Source organism: Homo sapiens, chromosome 10 (assembly GCF_000001405.40).
Source record: "Homo sapiens chromosome 10, GRCh38.p14 Primary Assembly".
Classification (NCBI taxonomy): domain Eukaryota; kingdom Metazoa; phylum Chordata; class Mammalia; order Primates; family Hominidae; genus Homo; species Homo sapiens.
Genome location: NC_000010.11, coordinates 39,511,858 through 39,531,758, shown reverse-complemented (window position 1 = coordinate 39,531,758; position 19,901 = coordinate 39,511,858).

The following is a 19,901-nucleotide window of genomic DNA, read 5'->3' as shown; positions in this document are numbered from 1 at the left end:
TTTTCCACCATAGCCATCAAAGTGCTCCAAATGTACACTTGCAGATCCTGCAAAAAGAGTTTCAAAAGTGTTCTATCAAAAGAAATTTCAACTCTGTGAGTTGAACGCACACATCACAAGGCACTTTCAGAGAATGTTTCTGTCCAGTTTTTATATAAAGATTTTTCCTTTTCTAGCACAGGCCTCATAGCGCTCCAAATATCCACTTGCAGATTCTACAAAAAGTGAGTTGCAAAACTGCTCTTTCAAAAGGAAGGTTCAACTCTGTGCATTGAATGCACCTATCACAAAGAAGTTTCTGAGAATGCTTCTGTCTAGTTTTTATGTGAAGATATTTCCTTTACCACCATAGCCCTCAAAGCCTTCCAAATATCCACTTGCAGATTCTACAGAAATAGTGTTTCAAAACTGCCCTATCAAAAGAAATGTTCAACTCTGTGAGTTGAATGCCACAATACAAATAAGTTTATGAGAACCCTTCTGTCTAGTTTTTATGTGAAGATATACCCATTTCCAGCGAACACTTAAATTGCTCCAAATATTCACTTGCAGATTCTACAAAAAGAGTGTTTCAAAACTGCTCTATCAAAAGGAAGGTCCAACTCTGTGAGTTGAATGCACACATCACAAAGGAGTTTCTGAGAATGCTTTTGTCTATTTTTTATGTGAAGATATTCCCATTTCCAACGAAGGCTTCACAGCGCTCAAAATATCCACTGGCAGATTCCACAAAAACAGTGTTTCAAAACTGCTCTATGGAAAGGTATATTCAACTCTGAGAGTTGAATGCAAACATCACAAAGAAGTTTCTGAGAATGCTTCTGTCTGGTTTTTATGTGAAGATATTTCCTTCTCCACCATAGCCCTCAAAGTGCTCCAAATGTCCACCTGCAGATTCTACAAAAAGAGTGTTTCAAAACTGCACCATCAAAAGGAAGGTTCAACTCTGTGAATTGAATGCCCACATTACAAAGTCGTTTCTGAGAATGCTTCTGTCTAGTTTTTATGTGAAGATATTCCCGTTTCCAAAGAAGGCCCCAAAGCGCTCCAAATGTCTATTTGCAGATTCTACAAAAAGAGTGTTTCAAAACTGCTCTCTCAAAAGGAAGGTTCAACTCTGTGAGTTCAATGCACTCATCACAAAGAAGTTTCTGAGAATGCTTCTGTCTAGTTTTTTTGTGAGTATAATTCCGATTCCAATGAAGGCCTCAAAGCGGTCCAAATATCCTCTTGTAGAATTTACAAAAACAGAGTTTCAATACTGCTCTATGAAAAGGTATGCTTAACTCTGTGAGTTAAATGCATCCACAACAAAGAAGTTTCTGAGGATGCTTCTGTCTAGTTTTCATATGAAGATATTTCCTTTTCCACCATAGCCCTCTAAAAACTCCAAATGTCCATTTGTGAATCCTTAAAAAGAGTGTTTCAAAACTGCTCATTCAAAAGGAACGTTCAACTCTGTGAGTTGAATGCACACATCACAAAGAAGTTTCTGAGAATGCTTCTGTCTAGTTTTTATGTGAAGCTACTTCCTTTTCCAACAATGGCTTCAAAGCACTCCAAATATCCACTTGCAGATTCTACAAAAAGAGTGTTTCAAAATGGCTCTATCAAAAGGAAGGTTCAACTCTGTGAGTTGAATCCACTGCATCACAAGGAAGTTTCTGAGAATGCTTCTGTCTAGTTTTTATATGAAGATATTTGCTTTTCTACAATAGGCCACAAAGGGCTCCAAATATCCACTTGCAGATTCTACAAAAAGAGTGTTTCAAAACTGCTCTATCAAAAGGAAGGTTCAACTATGTGCGATGAATGCAAACATCGCAAAGAAGTTTCTGAGAATGCTTCTGTCTAGTTTTTATGTGAAGATACTTGCTTTTCCAACGAAGGCTTCAAAACAATCCAAATATCCACTTGCAGATTCTACGAAAAGAGTGTTTTAAAATTGCTCTATCAAAAGAAAGTTTCAACTCTGTGAGCTGAATACACACATCACAAAAAAGTTTCTGAAAATGCTTCTGTCTAGTTTTTATGTGAAGATATTCCCATTTCCAACAATGGCTTCAAAGTGCTCAAAATATGCACTTGCAGATTGTACAAAAAGAGTGTTTCAAAACTGCTCTATGAAAAGGTATCTTCAACTCTGTGAGTTGAATTTAAACATCACAAAGAAATTTCTGAGAATGCTTCTCTCTAGTTTTTATGTGAGGATATTTCTTTTTCCACCATAGCCCTCAATGCGCTCCAAATGTCCACTTGCAGATTATACAAAAATAGTGTTTCAAAACTGCCTTATCAAAAGGAAGGTTCAACTTTGTGAGTTGAATGCATACATCACAAGAAATTTCTGAGAATGCTTCTGTCTAGAGTTTATGTTAGGTTATTCCCGTTTCCAAAGGTCTCAAAGCCGTCCAAACTTCCACTTGCAGATTCTACAAAGAGTGTTTCAAAACTTCTCTTTGTAAACGTATGTGCAAGTCTGTGAGTTGAATACAAACATCACAAAGAAGTTTCTGAGAATGCTTCTGTCTGGTTTTCATGTGAACATATTTCCTTTTCCACGACATCCCACAAAGTGCTCCAAATGTCAACTTGTGGATACCACAAAAAGAGTGTTTCAAAACTGGTCTATGAAAATAAAGTTTCAACTCTGTGAATTGAATGCAAACATTAGAAAGAAGTTTCAGAGAATGCTTCTGTCTAGTTTTTACTTGAAAATATTTCCTTTTGTATCATAGGCAACAAAGGTCTCCAAATATCCACTTGCAGATTCTACAAAAAGAGTGTTTCAAAACTGCCCTATCAAAAGGAAGGTTCAACTTTGTGAGTTGAATGCACACATCACAAGAAATTTATGAGAATGCTTCTGTCTAGAGTTTATGTTAGGATATTCCCATTTCCAAAGCAGGTCTGAAAGCGGTCCAAACTTCCACTTGCAGATTCTGCAAAGAGTGTTTCAAAACTGCTCTTTGTAAACTTATGTGCAAGTCTGTGATTTGAAGACAAACATCACAAAGAAGTTTCTGAGAATGCTTCTGTCTAGTTTTCATGTGAAGATATTTCCTTTTCAACGACATCCCACAAAGTGCTCCAAATGTCAACTTGTGGATTCCACAAAAAGAGTGTTTCAAAACTGGTCGATGAAAATAAAAGTTCAACTCCGTGAATTGAATGCAAACATCACAAAGAAGTTTCAGAGAATGTTTCTGTCTAGTAATACGTGAAGATATTTCCTTTTCCACCACAGCCCTCAAAGTGCTCCAAATGTCCACTTGCAGATTTCACGAAAAGAGTGGTTCAAAACTGCATTATCAAAAGAAAGGTTAAACCCTGTGAGTTGAATGCACATATCACAAAGTAGTTTCGGAGAATGCTTCTGGGTAGTTTTTATATGAAGTTATTTCCTTTTCTACCTTAGGCCACAAAGGGCTCCAAATATCCACTTGCAGATTCTACAAAAAGAGTGTTTCAAAGCTGCCCTATCAAAAGGAAGTTTCAACTATGTGAGTTGAATGCAAACGTCACAGAGAAATTTCTGAGAGTGCTTCTGTCTAGTTTTTATGTGAAGATACTTCCTTTTCCAAAGAAGTCTTCAAAGCCCTCCAAATATCCACTTGCAGATTCTACAAAAAGAGTGTTTCAAAACTGCTCTATCAAAAGGAAGGTTCAACTCTGTGAGTTGAATTCACACATCACAGAATATTTTCTGAGAATGCTTCCGTCTAGTTTTTATGTGAAGGTATTCCCATTTCCAATGAACTCCTCAAAGCACTGAAAATATCCACTTGCAGATTATACAAAAAGAGTGTATCAAAAGTGCTCTATGAAAAGGTATGTTCCAATCTGTGAGTTGAATTCAAACATCACAAAAAAGTTTCTGAGAACGCTTCTTTATAGTTTTTATGGGAGAATATTTCCTTTTCCACCAGAGCCCTCAAAGTGCTCCAAATGTCCACTTGCAGATTCTACAAAAAGAGTGTTTCAAACTGCTCTATCAAAAGAAAGCTTCAACTCCATGAGTTGAATGCAGACATCACAAAGTAGTTTCACAGAATGCTTCTGTCTAGTTTTTATATGAAGATATTTCCTTTTCTAACATGGGCCTCAAATGGCTCCAAATATCCACTTGCAGATTCTACAAAGAGTATTTCAAAACTGTTCTATCAAAAGGAAGGTTTAACTCTGTGCGTTGAATGTACACATCACAAAGAAGTTTCTGAGAATGCTTCTGTCTAGTTTTTATGAAAAGATATTCCCGTTTTCATCGAAAGTTTCAAAGCGGTCCAAATATCCACTTGCAGATTCTACAAAAAGAGTGTTTCAAAACTGCTATACAAAAAGGTATATTCAACTCTGTGAGTTGAATGCCAACATCACAAAGAAGTTTCTGAGAATGCTTCTGTCTGGTTTTCATGTGAAGATATTTCCCTTACCACCATAGCCCTCAGAGTGTTGCAAATGTCCACTTACAGATTCTACACAAAGAGGATTTCAAAACTCCTCTATCAAAAGGAAAGTTCAACTCTGTGAGTTGAATGCACACATCACAAAGAAGTTTCTGAGAATGCTTCTGTCTAGTTTTTATGTGGCGATATTCCTGTTTCCAACGAAGGCTTCAAAGCACTACACTATCCACCTGCATATTCTACATAAATAATGCTTCACAACTGCTCTATAAAAAGGAAGTTTCAACTCTGTGAGTTGAATGTAAACATCACAAAGAAGTTTCTGAGAATGCTTCTGTCTATTTTTTAGGTGAAGATATTCCCGTTTCCATTGAAGGCTCAAGGCACTCCAAATATCCACCTGCAGATTCTACAAAAAGAGTGTTTCAAAACTGCTCTATGAAAAGGAAGGTTCAACTCTGTGAGTTGAATGCACACATCACTAACAAGTTTCTGCGAATGCTTCTGTCTAGTTTTTATGTGAAGATACTTGCTTTTCCACCGAAGGTGTCAAAGAGCTTGAAATGTCCACTTGTAGATTCTACAAAAAGTGTGTTTCCAAACTACTCTATGAGAAGGTATGTTCAACTCTGAGAGTTGAATGGCAACATCAAAAGGAAGTTTCTGAGAATGCTTTTGTCTGGTTTTTATGTGAAGATATTTCCTTTTCCACAATAGCCCTTAAAATGCTCCAGATGTCCACCTGCAGATTCTACAAAAAGAGTGCTTCAAAACTGCTAGATCCAAAGAAATATTGAATCCTGTGAGATGAATGCACACATCACAAAGTAGTTTCTGAGAATACTTCTGTCTAGTTTTTATATAAAGACATTTCCTTTTCTACCATAGGCCTCGAAGCACTCCAAATATTCACTTGCTGATTCTTCAAAGAAGGTATTTCAGAACTACTCTATCAAAAGGAAGGTTCAATTCTATGAGTTGAATGCACTCATCACAAAGAAGTTTATGAGAATGCTTCTGTATAGTTTTTATGTGTAGATATTCCCGTTTCCAACGAAGGCTTCAAATCATTCCCAATATCTACCTGCAGATTCTACAAAAAGTGTTTCAAAACTACTCTATCAAAACAAAGGTTCAAATCTGTGAGTTCAATGCACACATCACAAAGTAGTTTCTGAGAATGCTTCTGTCTAATTTTTATGTGAAGATAAACCGGTTTCCAACGAAGGCTTCAGGTGGTCCAAATATCCAGTTGCAGATTCTACAAAAAGATTGTTTCAAAATTGCTCTATTAAAAGATATGTTCAACTCTGTGAGTTGATAGCATACATCACAAACAAGTTTCTGAGAATGTTTCTGTCTACTTTTCAAGTGAAGATATTTCCTTTACTACCATAGCCCACAAAGCCCTCCTAATGTGCTCTTGCAGATTCTACAAAAAGAGTTTTCCAAAACTGCTCTATCAAAAGAAAGGTTCGTCTCTGTGAGTTGAATACACACATCACAATGTAGTTTCTGAGAGTTCTTCTGTCTAGTGTCTATGTGAAGACATTCCCGTTTCCAATGAAGGCCTCAAAGCAGTCCAAATATCCACTTGCAGATTCTACAATACAGTGTTTCAAAACTGCTCTATCAAAAGGAAGGTTGAACTCTGTGAGTTGAATGCACACATGACAAAGAAGTTTCTGAGAATGCTTCTATCTAGTTTTCATGTGAAGATATTTCCTTTTCCACCATAGCCCTCAAAGTGTTCCAAATGTCCACTTGCAGATTCCATAAAAAGAGAGTTTCAAAACTGCTCTATCAAAAGAAAGTTTAAACTCTGTGAGTTGAATACACATATCGCACAGTAGTTCTGAGAACGCTTCTGTCTAGCTTTTATATGAAGATACGTCCTTTTCTACATAGGCCTCAAAGCACTCCAAATATACACATGAAGATTCTAAAAAAAGAGTGTTTCAAAACTGCTCTATCAAAAGGAAGGTTCTAATCTGTGAGCTGAATGTGCACTTTGTGAAGAAGTTTCTGTGAATGATTCTGTCTAGTTTTCATATGAATACATTTCCTTTTCTACCAGAGGACTCAAATCGTTCCAAATATCCACTTGAAGATTCTACAAAAAGAGGGTTTCAAAACTGCCCTATCAAAAGGAAGGTTCAACTCTTTGAGTAGAATCCACACATCACAAAGTAGTTTCTGAGAATGCTTCTGTCTCGTTTTTATGTGGACATATTCCCGTTTCAAACGAAGACCTCAAAGCAGTCCAAATATACACTCGCAGATTCTACAAAAAGAGTGTTTCAAACTACTCTATGAAAAGAAAGGTTCAACTCTTTGAGTTGAATGCAAACAACACAAAGGAGTTTCGGACAATGCTTCTGTCTGGTCTTTATGTGAAGATATTTCCTTTTCGACCATAATGCTCAAGGTGATCCAAATGTCCACTTGCAGATTCTACAAAAATGGTGTTTCAAAACGGCTCTATCAAAAGAAAGGTCAAATCTGTGAGTTGAATGCACATAGTACAAAGAAGTTTCTGAGAATTCTTCTGTCTAGTTTTTATGTGAAGATATTCCCGTTTCCAATGAAGTCTTCAAAGTGGTCCAAATATCCACTTGCAGATTTTCCAAAAAGAGTGTTTCAAAACTGCTCTATCAAAAGAAAGGTCAAATCTGTGAGTTGAATGCACATAGTACAAAGAAGTTTCTGAGAATTCTTCTGTCTAGTTTTTATGTGAAGATATTCCCGTTTCCAATGAAGTCTTCAAAGTGGTCCAAATATCCACTTGCAGATTTTCCAAAAAGAGTGTTTCAAAACTGCTCTTCCAAAAGGAAGATTCAAACCTATGAGTTGAATGCACACATCACAAAGAAGTTTCTGGGAATGCTTCTGTCTAGTTTTTATATGAATATATTTCCTTTTCTACTAGAGGCCTCAAAGTCCTCCAAATATCCACTTGAAGATTCTACAAAAAGAGTGTTTAAAAACTGCTCTATGAAACGGAATGTTCAACTCTGTGTGTTGAATGCACACATCACAAAGTAGTTTCCTAGAATGCTTCTGTCTAGTTTTTATGTGAGGATAACCCCGTTTCTGATGAAGGCCTCAAAGCGGTCCAAATATCGACTTGCAGATTCTACAAAAAGAGTGTTTCAAAACTGTTCTTTCAAAAGGAAAGTTCAAATCCATTAGTTGAATGCAAACATCACAAAGAAGTTTCTGAGAATGCTTCTGTCTGGCTTTTCTGTGAAGATATTTCCTTTTCCACCATAGGTCTCAAAGTGCTCCAAATGTCCACTTGCAGATTCTACAAAAAGTGTGTTTCAAAACTGCTCTATCAAAAGGAAGGCTCACCTCTATGAGTTGAATGCACGCATCACAAAGAAGTTTCTCAGAATGATTCTCTCTAGTTTTTATGTGAAGATATTCCAGTTTCCAATGAAGGCTACAAAGCACTCAAAATATCCAATTGTGGATTCTACAAAAAAACTGTTTCAAAACAGCTCTATGAAAAGGTATGTTCAACTCTGTGAGTTGAATGCACACATCACAAAGAAGTTTCTGAGAATGCTTCTATCTAGTTTTTATGTGAAGATATTTCCTTTTCCAACATAGCCCTTAAAATGCTCCAAATATTCACGTGCAGATTCTACAAAAAGAGTGTTTCGAAACTGCTCTGTCAAAAGGAAGGTTCAACTCTGTGAGTTGAATGCACACATCACAAAGAAGCTTCTCAGAATGCTTCTGTCTAGTTTTTATGTGAAGATATTCCCGTTTCCAACCAAGGCCTCAAAGGGCTCCAAATACACCCTTGCAGATTTTAGAAAAAGAGTGTTTCAAAACTGCTCTATGAAAAGTTATGTTCAACTCTGTGAGTTGAATGCAAACATCTCACAGAAGTTTCTGAGAATGCTTCTGTCTAGTCTTTATGTGAAGATATATCCTTTTCCACCATAGCCCTCAAAGGGCTCCAAAGGTTCACTTGCAGATTCTACAAAAAGAGTGGTTCAAAGCTGCTCTATGAAAAGAAAGGTTCAACTATGTGAGTTGAATGCAAACATCACAGAGAAGTTTCTGAGAATGCTTGGGTCTAGTTTTTACCTGAAGATATTTCCTTATCCACCATAGCCCCCAAAGTGCTCCAAATGTCCACTTGCAGATTCTACAAAAGGAGTGTTTCAAAACTGCTCAATCAAAAGAAATGTTAAACTCTGTGATTTCAATGCACACATCACGAAAATGTTTCTGAGAATGCTTCTGTCTAGTTTTTATCTGAAGATATTTCCTTTTCCACCGTAGCCCTCACAGCGCTCCAATGGTCCACTTGCAAATTCTACAAAAGAAGTGTTTCAAAACTGCTCTTTCAAAAGAAAGGTTCAACTCTGTGAGTTGAATGCACACATCACAAAGTAGTTTCTGAGAATGCTTCTGTCTAGTTTATATATGAAGATATTTCCTTTTCTACCATTGGCCTCAAAGTGCTCCAAATATCCACGGGCTTATGTCTAGTTTTTATGGGAAGATATTTCCTTTTCCATCATAGCCCTCAAAGCGCTCCAAATGTCCACTTGAAGATTTTACAAAAAAAGTGCTTAAAATCTGCTCTATCAAAAGGAAGGTTCAACTCTGTGAGTTGAATGCACATATCACAAAGAAGTTTCTGAGAATGCTTCTGTCTACTTTTTATGTGAAGAGACTTCCTTTTCCACCATAGGCCTCCAAACCCTCCAAATATCTACTTGCAGATCCTACAGAAAGACCTTTTCAAAACTGCTCTATGAAAAAGAATGTTCAACTCTTTGAGTTGAATGCACACATCCAAAGAAGTTTCTGAGAATGCTTCTGTCTAGTTTTTATGTGAAGATATTTCCTTTTCTACCACAGGCCTCAGAATGCTCCAAACGTCCACTTGCAGATTCTACAAAAAGAGTGTTTCAAAACTGCTCTATCAAAAGAAAGTTTCAACTCTGCGAGTTGAATGCGCACATCACAAATAATTTTCTCAGAATGCTGTCTAGTTTTTATTTGAAGATATTCCCGTTTCCAACAAAGGCCTCAAAGCTCTCAAAATATCCTCTTGCACATTCTGCAAAAAGAGTGTTTCAAAACTACTCTATGAAAAGTTATGTTCAACTCTGTGAGTTGAATGCAAACATCACACAGAATTTTCAGAGAATGCTTCTGTCTAGTGTTTATGTGAAGATATTTCCTTTTCCACCATAGCCCACAAAGCACTCCAATTGTCCACTTGCAGATCCTACAAAAAATTGTTTCAAAACTTCTGTATCAAAATAATAGTTCAACTCTGTGAGTTGAATGCACACATCACAAAGTAGTTTCTGAGAATGATTCCGTCTAGTTTTTGTATGAAGATATTTCCATTTCCAACATAGGCCTCAAAGTGCTCCAAATATGCACTAGCTTCTGTCTAGTGTTTATGTGAAGATATTTCCTTTTCCACCATAACCCTCAGGGCGCTCCAAATATCCACTTGCAGATTCTAAAAAAAGAGCGTTTAAAAACTGCTGTATCAAAAGGAAGATTCAACTCTGTGAGATGAATACACACATCACAAAGAAGTTTCTGAGAAAGCTTCTGTCAAGCTTTTATGTCAAGATATTCCCGTTTCCAACGAAGGCCTCAAAGCATTCTCAATATCCACTTGCAGATTCTACAATAAGATTGTATCAAAAGTGCTCTATGAAAAGGTATGTTCCAATCTGTGAGTTGAATGCAAACATCACAAAGAAGTTTCTGAGAAATCTTCTGTCTAGTTTTTATGTGAAGATATTTCCTTTTCAACAAGAACACTCAAAGCACTCTAAATGTCCAATTGCAGATTCTACAAAAAGAGTGTTTCAAAACTGCTCTGTAAAAAGAAAGTTTCAACTCTGTGAGTTGAATTCACATACCACAACGTAGTTACTGTGAATGCTTATGTCTAGTTTTTACAGGAAGGTATTACCTTTTCTACCAAAAGCTCAAAGCACTCCAAATATCCACTTGGAGATTATACAAAAAGAGTGTTTCAAAACTGTTGTATCAAAAGGAAGGTTTAACTCTGTGAGTTGAATGAACACATCACAAAGAAGTTTCTGAGAAGGCTTCTGTCTGCTTTTTATGCGACGATACTTCTTTTCCACCATAGGCCTCAAAGCGCTAAAATTATCCCCTTCAGATTCTACAAAAAGACTGTTTCCAAATTGCTCTATGAAAAGGAATGTTCAACTCTGTGAGTTGAATGCACACATCACAAGAAAGTTTCTGAGAATGCTTCTGTCTAGTTTTTACGTGAAGCTATTTCCTTTTCCACCACAGCCCTCAAAGTGCTCCAAAAGTCAACTTGCAGATTCTACAAAAAGAGTGCTTCAAAACTGCTCTATCAAAAGAAATTTTCAAATCTCTGAGTTGAATGCACACAACACAAAGTAGTTTCTGAGAATGATTCTGTCTAGTTTTTGTATGAAGATATTTCCATTTCTACCATAGGCCTCAAAGGGCTCCAAATATCCACTTGCAGAGTCTACAAAAAGAGTGTGTCAAACCTGTTCTATCAAAAGGCAGGTTCAACTCTGTGAGTTCAATGCACACATCACAAGAAGTTTCTGTGAATGCTTCTGTCTAGTTTTTTTGTGAAGATATTTCCTATTCCACCATAGCCCTCAAAGCACTCCAAATGCCAACTTGCAGATTCTACAAAAAGAGTGTTTCAAAACTGTACTGTGGAAAGAAAGGTTCAACTCTGTGAGTTAAATGCGCACATCACAATGAAGTTTCTGAGAATGCTTCTGTCTAGTTTATATGTGAAGGTATTCCCATTTCAACTGTAGGCCTCAAAGCACACAAAATATCCACGTTGGAGATTCTACAAAAAGAGTGTTTCAAAACTGCTCTAACAAAAGGAAAGTTCAACTCTGCGAGTTGAATGCACACATCACAAAGAAGTTTCTGAGAATGCCTCTGTCTAGTTTTTATGAGAAGATATTCCTTTTTCCAAAGAAGTTCTCAAAGCGCTCCAAATATCCTCCTGCACATTCTACAAAGAGAGTGTTTCAAAGCCACTCTATGAAAAGTTATGTTCAGCTCTGTGAGTTGAATGCAAACATTACAAAGAAGTTTCTGAGAATGTTTCTGTCTAGTTTTTATATGAAGATATTTCCTTTTCTGCCATAGGCCTCAAGGCGCTCCAAATACCCACTTGCAGATTCTATAAAAAGTGTTTCAAAACTGCTCTATCAAAAGCAAGGTTCAACTATGTGAGTTGAATGCACACATCACAAGGAAGTTTCTGAGAATGCCTCTGTCCACTTTTTATGTGAAGCTACATCCTTTTCCAACATAGGCCTCAAACTGCTGCAAATATCCACTTGCAGATTCTACAAAAGGACTGTTTCAAAGCTGTTCTATGAAAAGGAATGTTCAACTCTGTGAGTTGAATGCACTCTTCACAAAGGAGTTTCTGAGACTGCTTCTGTCTTATTTTTATGTGAAGATATTCCCGTTTCCAACGAAGGACTCAAATCGGGCCAAATATCCACTTGCAGATTCTACAAAAGGAGTGCTTCAAAACTGCTCTATGGAAAGGTATGTTCGACTGTGTGAGTTGAATGCAGACATCACCAGAAGTTTCTGAGAATGTTTCTCTCTAGTTTTTATGTGAAGATATTTCCTTTTACACTGAAGGCCTCAAAACACTCCAAATGTCCACTTGCTGATTCAACAAAAAGGGTGTTTCAAAACTGCTCTATGAAAAGGAATGTTCAACTCTGTGATTTGAATGCACACGTCACAAAGTTGTTTCTGAGAATTCTTCTGTCTAGTTTTTATGTGAAGATATTCCCGTTTCAGCTGTAGGCCTCAAAGCACTCAAAATATCCACTTTCAGGTTCTACAAAAAGAGTATTTCAAAACTGCTCTATGATAAGGTATGTACTACTCTGTGAGTTGAATACAATTGTCACAAAGAAGTTTCTGGGAATGCTTCCGTCTAGTTTTTAGGTGAAGATATTTCCATTTCCACCATGGCCCTCAAAGCGCTCCAAATGTCCATTTATAGATTCTACAAAAAGAGGGTTTCAAAACTGCTCTATCAAAAGAAGGGTTTCGACTCTGTGAGTTGTATAAACACATCACAGAGTAGTTTCTGAGAATGCTTCGGTCCAGTTTTGTATGAAGGTATTTCCTTTTCTTCCATAGGCCTCAAATAGGTGTTATAAATATGCACCTGTGGTTTATACAAAAAGCGTGTTTCAAATCTGCTCTATCAAAAGGAAGGATCAACTCTGTGAGTTGAATGCACACATCACAAAGCAGTTTCTGAGAATGCTTCTGTCTAGTGTTTATGTGAAGATATTGTCGTTTCCAATGAAGGCTTCAAAGCATTCCAAATATCCACCTGCAGTTCTACAAAAAGAGTTTTTCAAAACTGCTCTTTCAAAAGGAAGGTTCTACTATTTCAGTTGAATTCACACATCACAAAGAAGGTTCTGAGAATGCGTCTGTCTAGTTTTTACATGCAGATATTTCCTTTTCTACCACAGGCCTCAAAGCGCTCCAAATATGCACTTGCAGATCCTACAAAAAGGGTGTTTCAAAACTGCTCTGTCAAAAGGAAGGCTCAACTCTGTGAGTTGAGTGCACATATCACAAAAAAGTTTCTGAGAATGCTTCTGTATACTTCTTATTTGAAAATACTTCCTTTTCCAACGTAGCCCTTAAAACGCTCCAAATGTTCACTTGCAGATTCTACAAAAAGAGTGTTTCAAAACTGCTCTGTCAAAAGGAAGGTTCAACTCTGTGAGGTGAATGCACACATCACAAAGAAGCTTCTCAGATTGCTTCTATCTAGTTTTTATGTGAAGATATTCCCGTTTCCAACCAAGGCCTCAAAGGGCTCCAAATACACACTTGCAGATATTAGAAAAAGAGTGTTTCAAAACTGCTCTATGAAAAGTTATGTTCAACTCTGTGAGTTGAATGCAAACATCTCACAGAAGTTTCTGAGAATGCTTCTGTCTAGTCTTTATGTGAAGATATATCCTTCTCCCCATAGCCCTCAAAGGGCTCCAGATGTTCACTTGCAGATCCTACAAAAAGAGTGGTTCAAAGCTGCTCTATGAAAAGAAAGGTTCAACTATGTGAGTTGAATGCAAACATCACAGAGAAGTTTCTGAGAATGCTTTTGTCTAGTTTTTATGTGAAGATATTTCCTTGTCCACCATAGCCCCCAAAGTGCTCCAAATGTCCACTTGCAGATTCTACAAAAGGAGTGTTTCAAAACTGCTCAATCAAAAGAAATGTTAAACTCTGTGATTTCAATGCACACATCACGAAAATGTTTCTGAGAATGCTTCTGTCTAGTTTTTATCTGAAGATATTTCCTTTTCCACCATAGCCCTCACAGCGCTTCCAAGGTCCACTTGCAGATTCTACAAAAGAAGTGTTTCAAAACTGCTCTTTCAAAAGAAAGGTTCAACTCTGTGAGTTGAATGCACACATCACAAAGTAGTTTCTGAGAATACTTCTGTCTAGTGCATATATGAAGATATTTCCTTTTCTACCATTAGCATCAAAGCGCTCCAAATATCCACTGGCTTATGTCTAGTTTTTATGTGAAGATATTTCCTTTTCCACCATAGCCCTCAAAGTGCTCCAAATATCCACTTGCAGATTTTACAAAAAGAGTGTTTAAAAACTGCTCTATCAAGAGGAAGTCTCAATTTTGTGAGTTGAATGCACATATCACGAAGAAGTTTCTGAGAATGCTTCTGTCTACTTTTTATGTGAAGAGACTTCCTTTTCCACCATAGGACTCATAGCGCTCCAAGTATCCACTTGCAGATCCTACAAAAACACTGTTTCAAAACTGCTCTATCAAAAGGAAGGTTAAACACTGTGTGTTGAATGCACACATCAGAAGAAGTCTCTGTGAATGCCTCTGTCTAGCTTCTTTGTGAAGATATTTCCTTTTCCACCATAGCCCTCAAAGCTCTCCAAATGTCAACTTGCAGATTCTACAAAAAGAGTGTTTCAAAACTGCTCTATCAAAAGAAAGGTTCAACTCTGTGAGTTGAATGGACACATCACAGAGTAGTTTCTGAGAATTCTTCTGTCTAGTTTTTTTGTGAAGATATTTCCTTTTCTAACATAGGCCTCAAAGCGCTCCAAATACCCACTTGCAGATTCTACAAAAAGAGTGTTTCAAAACTGCTATATCAAAAAGAAGGTTCAACTCGGTGATTTGAATGCCCACATCACAAAGAAGATTCTGTGAGTGCTTCTGTGTAGTTTTTTTGTGAAGATATTTCCTTTTCCAATATATCCCACAAAGCGCTACAGATTTCCACTTGCAGATCCTACAAAAAGAGTGTTTCAAAACTGCTCTATTGAAAGAAAGGTTCAACTCTGTGACTTGAAGGCACACATCACAAAGAAGTGTGTGATAATGCTTCTGTCTAGTTTTTATGTAAAGTCATTCCCACTTCCACCGTAGGCCTCAAAGCACTCCAAATATCCACTTACAGATTCTACAAAAAGAGTGTTTCAAAACTGCTCTCTCAAAAGAAAGGTTTATTTCTGTGAGTTGAATGCACACATCACAAAGAAGTTTCTGAGAATGTTTCTGTCTAGTTTTTATGTGAAGATGTTCCCGTTTCCAATGAACACCTCAAAACCATCCAAATATCCACTTGCAGATTCTACAAAAAGATTGTTTCAAAACTGCTCTAAGAAAAGGTATGTTCAGCTCTGTGAGTGGAATGCAAACATCACAAAGAAATTTCTGAGAATGCTTCTGTCTAGTTTTTATGTGAAGATATATCTTTTTCCACCACAGCCCTCAAAGTGCTCCAAATGTCTACATGCAGATTCTACAAAAAGAGTGTTTCAAAACTGCTCTATCAAAAGTAAGGTTCAAATCTGTGAGTTGAATGCACCCAGCACAAAGTAGTTTCTGAGAATTCTTCTATCTAGTTTTTATTTGAAGATATTCCCGTTTCCAACAAAGGCTGCAAAGCGTCCAAATATCCACTTGCAGATTCTACAAAAAAAGAGAGTTTCAAAACTGCCCTGTGAAAAGGTATGTTAAACTCTGTGAGTTTAATGCAATCATCACAAAGAAGTTTCTGAGAATGCTTCTGTCTAGTTTTGATGTGAAGATATTTCCTTTCCTACCATTGGCCTCAAAGCACTCCAAACAGCCACTTTCAGGTTGTACAAAAAAAGTGTATCAAAACTGCTCTATTAAAAGGAAGTTTCAGCTCTGTGATTTGAATGCACCCATCACAAAGAAGTTTCTGAGAATGCTTCTGTCTAGTTTTTATGTGAAGATATTCCCGTTCACAATGAGCGCTTCAAAGCACTCCAAATAACGACCTGCAGATTCTACAAAAAGAGTGTTTCAGAACTGCTCTATAAAAAGGAAGGTTCAACTCCGTGAGTTGAATGCAAACATCACAAAGAAGTTTCTGAGAATTCTTCTATCAAATATTTATGTGAAGATACTTCTTTTTCCATTGAAAAACTCAAAGAGCTCGAAATGTCCACTTGCAGATTCTACAAAAAGTGTGTTTCAAAACTGCTGTATCAAAAGAAAGGTTCAACTCTGTGAGTTGAAGGCACACATCACAAAGAAGTTTCTGAGAATGATTCTGCCTAGTTTTTATGTGAAGATTTTTCCATTTCCAATGAAAGCCTCAAAGTGGTCCAAATATCCACTTGCAGATTCTACAAAAAGAGTGTTTCAAAACTGCTGTATCGAAAAAAGGGTTAAACTCTGTGAGTTGAATGCAAATATCACAAAGAAGTTTCTGGGAATGCTTCTGTCTCCTTTTTATGTGAAGATATTCCCGTTTCCAAAGAAGGCTTCAAAGCGCTCCAAATATCGAAATGCAGAAACTACAAAAAGAGTGTTTCAAAACTCCTCTATGAAAAGGTATGTTCAACTCTGTCAGTTGAATGAAAACGTCACAAAGTAGTTTCTGAGAATGCTTCTGTCTCGTATTTATGTGAACATATTTCCTTTTCCAACATTGCCCTCAAAGCCCTCGAAGTGTCCAATTGCAGATTCTGCAAAAAGAGTGTTTGAAAACTGCTCTATCAAAAGAAAGGTTCAACTCTGTGAGTTGAATGCACACATCACAAAGTAGTATCTGAGAATGCTTCTGTGTAGTTTTTATACGAAGATATTTCCTTTTCTTCTGGAGGCCTCAAAGGGCTCGAAATATCCACTTGCAGGTCCTACAAAAAGAGTTTCAAAACTGCTCTATGAAAAGGAATGTTCAACTCTGTGAGTTGAATGCACACATCACAAAGAAGTTCTGAGAATCTTTCTGTCTAGTTTTTATATGAGGATATTTTCTTTTCTAAAATAGTCCTCAAAGCACCCCTAATATCCACTTACAGATTCTAGAAACAGTGTTTCAAAGTTGCTCTATCAAACGGAAGTTTCAACTCTGTGATTTGAATGCACACATCATGAAGAAGTTTCTGAGAATGATTCTGCCTAGATTTTATGTGAAGATATTCCTGTTTCCGATGAAGGTTTCAAAGCGCTCCAAATACATACTTGCAGATTCTACAAAAAGAGTGTTTCAAAACTGCTCTATCAAAAAAAAGTGCAACTCAGGGAGTTGAATGCACACAACACAAAGTAGTTTTTGAGAATGCTTCTGTCTAGTTTTTAACTGAAGATATTTCCTTTTCCACCACAGGCCTCAAAGTCCTCCAAATATCCACTTGCAGATTTTTCAAAAAGAGTGTTTCAAAACTGCCCTATCAAAAGGAGGATTCAACTCTGTGCGTTGAATGCACGCATCACAAACTTGTTTAAGAGAATGCTTCTGTCTAGTTTTTATATGCAGATATTTCCTTTTCTACCACAGTCCACAAAGCACTCCAAATATCCACTTGCAGATTTTACAAAAAGAATGTTTCAAAACTGGTCTAAGACAAGGAATATTCACCTCTGTGAGTTGAATGCACACATGACAAAGAAGCTTCTGAGAAATCTTCTGTTTAGTTTTTATGCGTAGATATCCCTGTTTCCAATGAAGGCCTCAAAGCGCTCCAAATATCCACTTGCAGATTCTACAAAGAGTGTTTCATAACTGCTCTATCAAAAGGAATGTTCAACCCTCTGAGTTCAATGCACACATCAGAAAGAAATTTCTGACAATGCTTCTGTCTAGTTTTTTTTTTTTTTTTTATTATACTCTAAGTTTTAGGGTACATGTGCACATTGTGCAGGTTAGTTACATATGTATACATGTGCCATGCTGGTGCGCTGCACCCACTAATGTGTCATCTAGCATTAGGTATATCTCCCAATGCTATCCCTCCCCCCTCCCCCGACCCCACCACAGTCCCCAGAGTGTGATATTCCCCTTCCTGTGTCCATGTGATCTCATTGTTCAATTCCCACCTATGAGTGAGAATATGCAGTGTTTGGTTTTTTGTTCTTGCGATAGTTTACTGAGAATGATGGTTTCCAATTTCATCCATGTCCCTACAAAGGATATGAACTCATCATTTTTTATGGCTGCATAGTATTCCATGGTGTATATGTGCCACATTTTCTTAATCCAGTCTATCATTGTTGGACATTTGGGTTGGTTCCAAGTCTTTGCTATTGTGAATAGTGCCGCAATAAACATACGTGTGCATGTGTCTTTATAGCAGCATGATTTATAGTCCTTTGGGTATATACCCAGTAATGGGATGGCTGGGTCAAATGGTATTTCTAGTTCTAGATCCCTGAGGAATCGCCACACTGACTTCCACAATGGTTGAACTAGTTGACAGTCCCACCAACAGTGTAAAAGTGTTCCTATTTCTCCACATCCTCTCCAGCACCTGTTGTTTCCTGACTTTTTAATGATTGCCATTCTAACTGGTGTGAGATGGTATCTCATAGTGGTTTTGATTTGCATTTCTCTGATGGCCAGTGATGATGAGCATTTCTTCATGTGTTTTTTGGCTGCATAAATGTCTTCTTTTGAGAAGTGTCTGTTCATGTCCTTCGCCCACTTTTTGATGGGGTTGTTTGTTTTTTTCTTGTAAATTTGTTTGCGTTCATTGTAGATTCTGGATATTAGCCCTTTGTCAGATGAGTAGGTTGCGAAAATTTTCTCCCATGTTGTAGGTTGCCTGTTCACTCTGATGGTAGTTTCTTTTGCTGTGCAGAAGCTCTTTAGTTTAATTAGATCCCATTTGTCAATTTTGGCTTTTGTTGCCATTGCTTTTGGTGTTTTGGACATGAAGTCCTTGCCCACGCCTATGTCCTGAATGGTAATGCCTAGGTTTTCTTCTAGGGTTTTTATGGTTTTAGGTCTAACGTTTAAATCTTTATTCCAGCTTGAATTGATTTTTGTATAAGGTGTAAGGAAGGGATCCAGTTTCAGCTTTCTACATATGGCTAGACAGTTTTCCCAGCACCATTTATTAAATAGGGAATCCTTTCCCCATTGCTTGTTTTTCTCAGGTTTGTCAAAGATCAGATAGTTGTAGATATGTGGCATTATTTCTGAGGACTCTGTTCTGTTCCATTGATCTATATCTCTGTTTTGGTACCAGTACCATGCTGTTTTGGTTACTGTAGCCTTGTAGTATAGTTTGAAGTCAGGTAGTGTGATGCCTCCAGCTTTGTTCTTTTGGCTTAGGATTGACTTGGCAATGCGGGCTCTTTTTTGGTTCCATATGAACTTTAAAGTAGTTTTTTCCAATTCTGTGAAGAAAGTCATTGGTAGCTTGATGGGGATGGCATTGAATCTGTAAATTACCTTGGGCAGTATGGCCATTTTCACGATATTGATTCTTCCTACCCATGAGCATGGAATGTTCTTCCATTTGTTTGTGTCCTCTTTTATTTCCTTGAGCAGTGGTTTGTAGTTCTCCTTGAAGAGGTCCTTCACATCCCTTGTAAGTTGGATTCCTAGGTATTTTATTCTCTTTGAAGCAATTGTGAATGGGAGTTCACCCATGATTTGGCTCTCTGTTTGTCTGTTGTTGGTGTATAAGAATGCTTGTGATTTTTGTACATTGATTTTGTATCCTGAGACTTTGCTGAAGTTGCTTATCAGCTTAAGGAGATTTTGGGCTGAGACGATGGGGTTTTCTAGATAAACAATCATGTCGTCTGCAAACAGGGACAATTTGACTTCCTCTTTTCCTACTTGAATACCCTTTATTTCCTTCTCCTGCCTGATTGCCCTGGCCAGAACTTCCAACACTATGTTGAATAGGAGCGGTGAGAGAGGGCATCCCTGTCTTGTGCCAGTTTTCAAAGGGAATGCTTCCCGTTTTTGCCCATTCAGTATGATATTGGCTGTGGGTTTGTCATAGATAGCTCTTATTATTTTGAAATACGTCCCATCAATACCTAATTTATTGAGAGTTTTTAGCATGAAGGGTTGTTGAATTTTGTCAAAGGCTTTTTCTGCATCTATTGAGATAATCATGTGGTTTTTGTCTTTGGCTCTGTTTATATGCTGGATTACA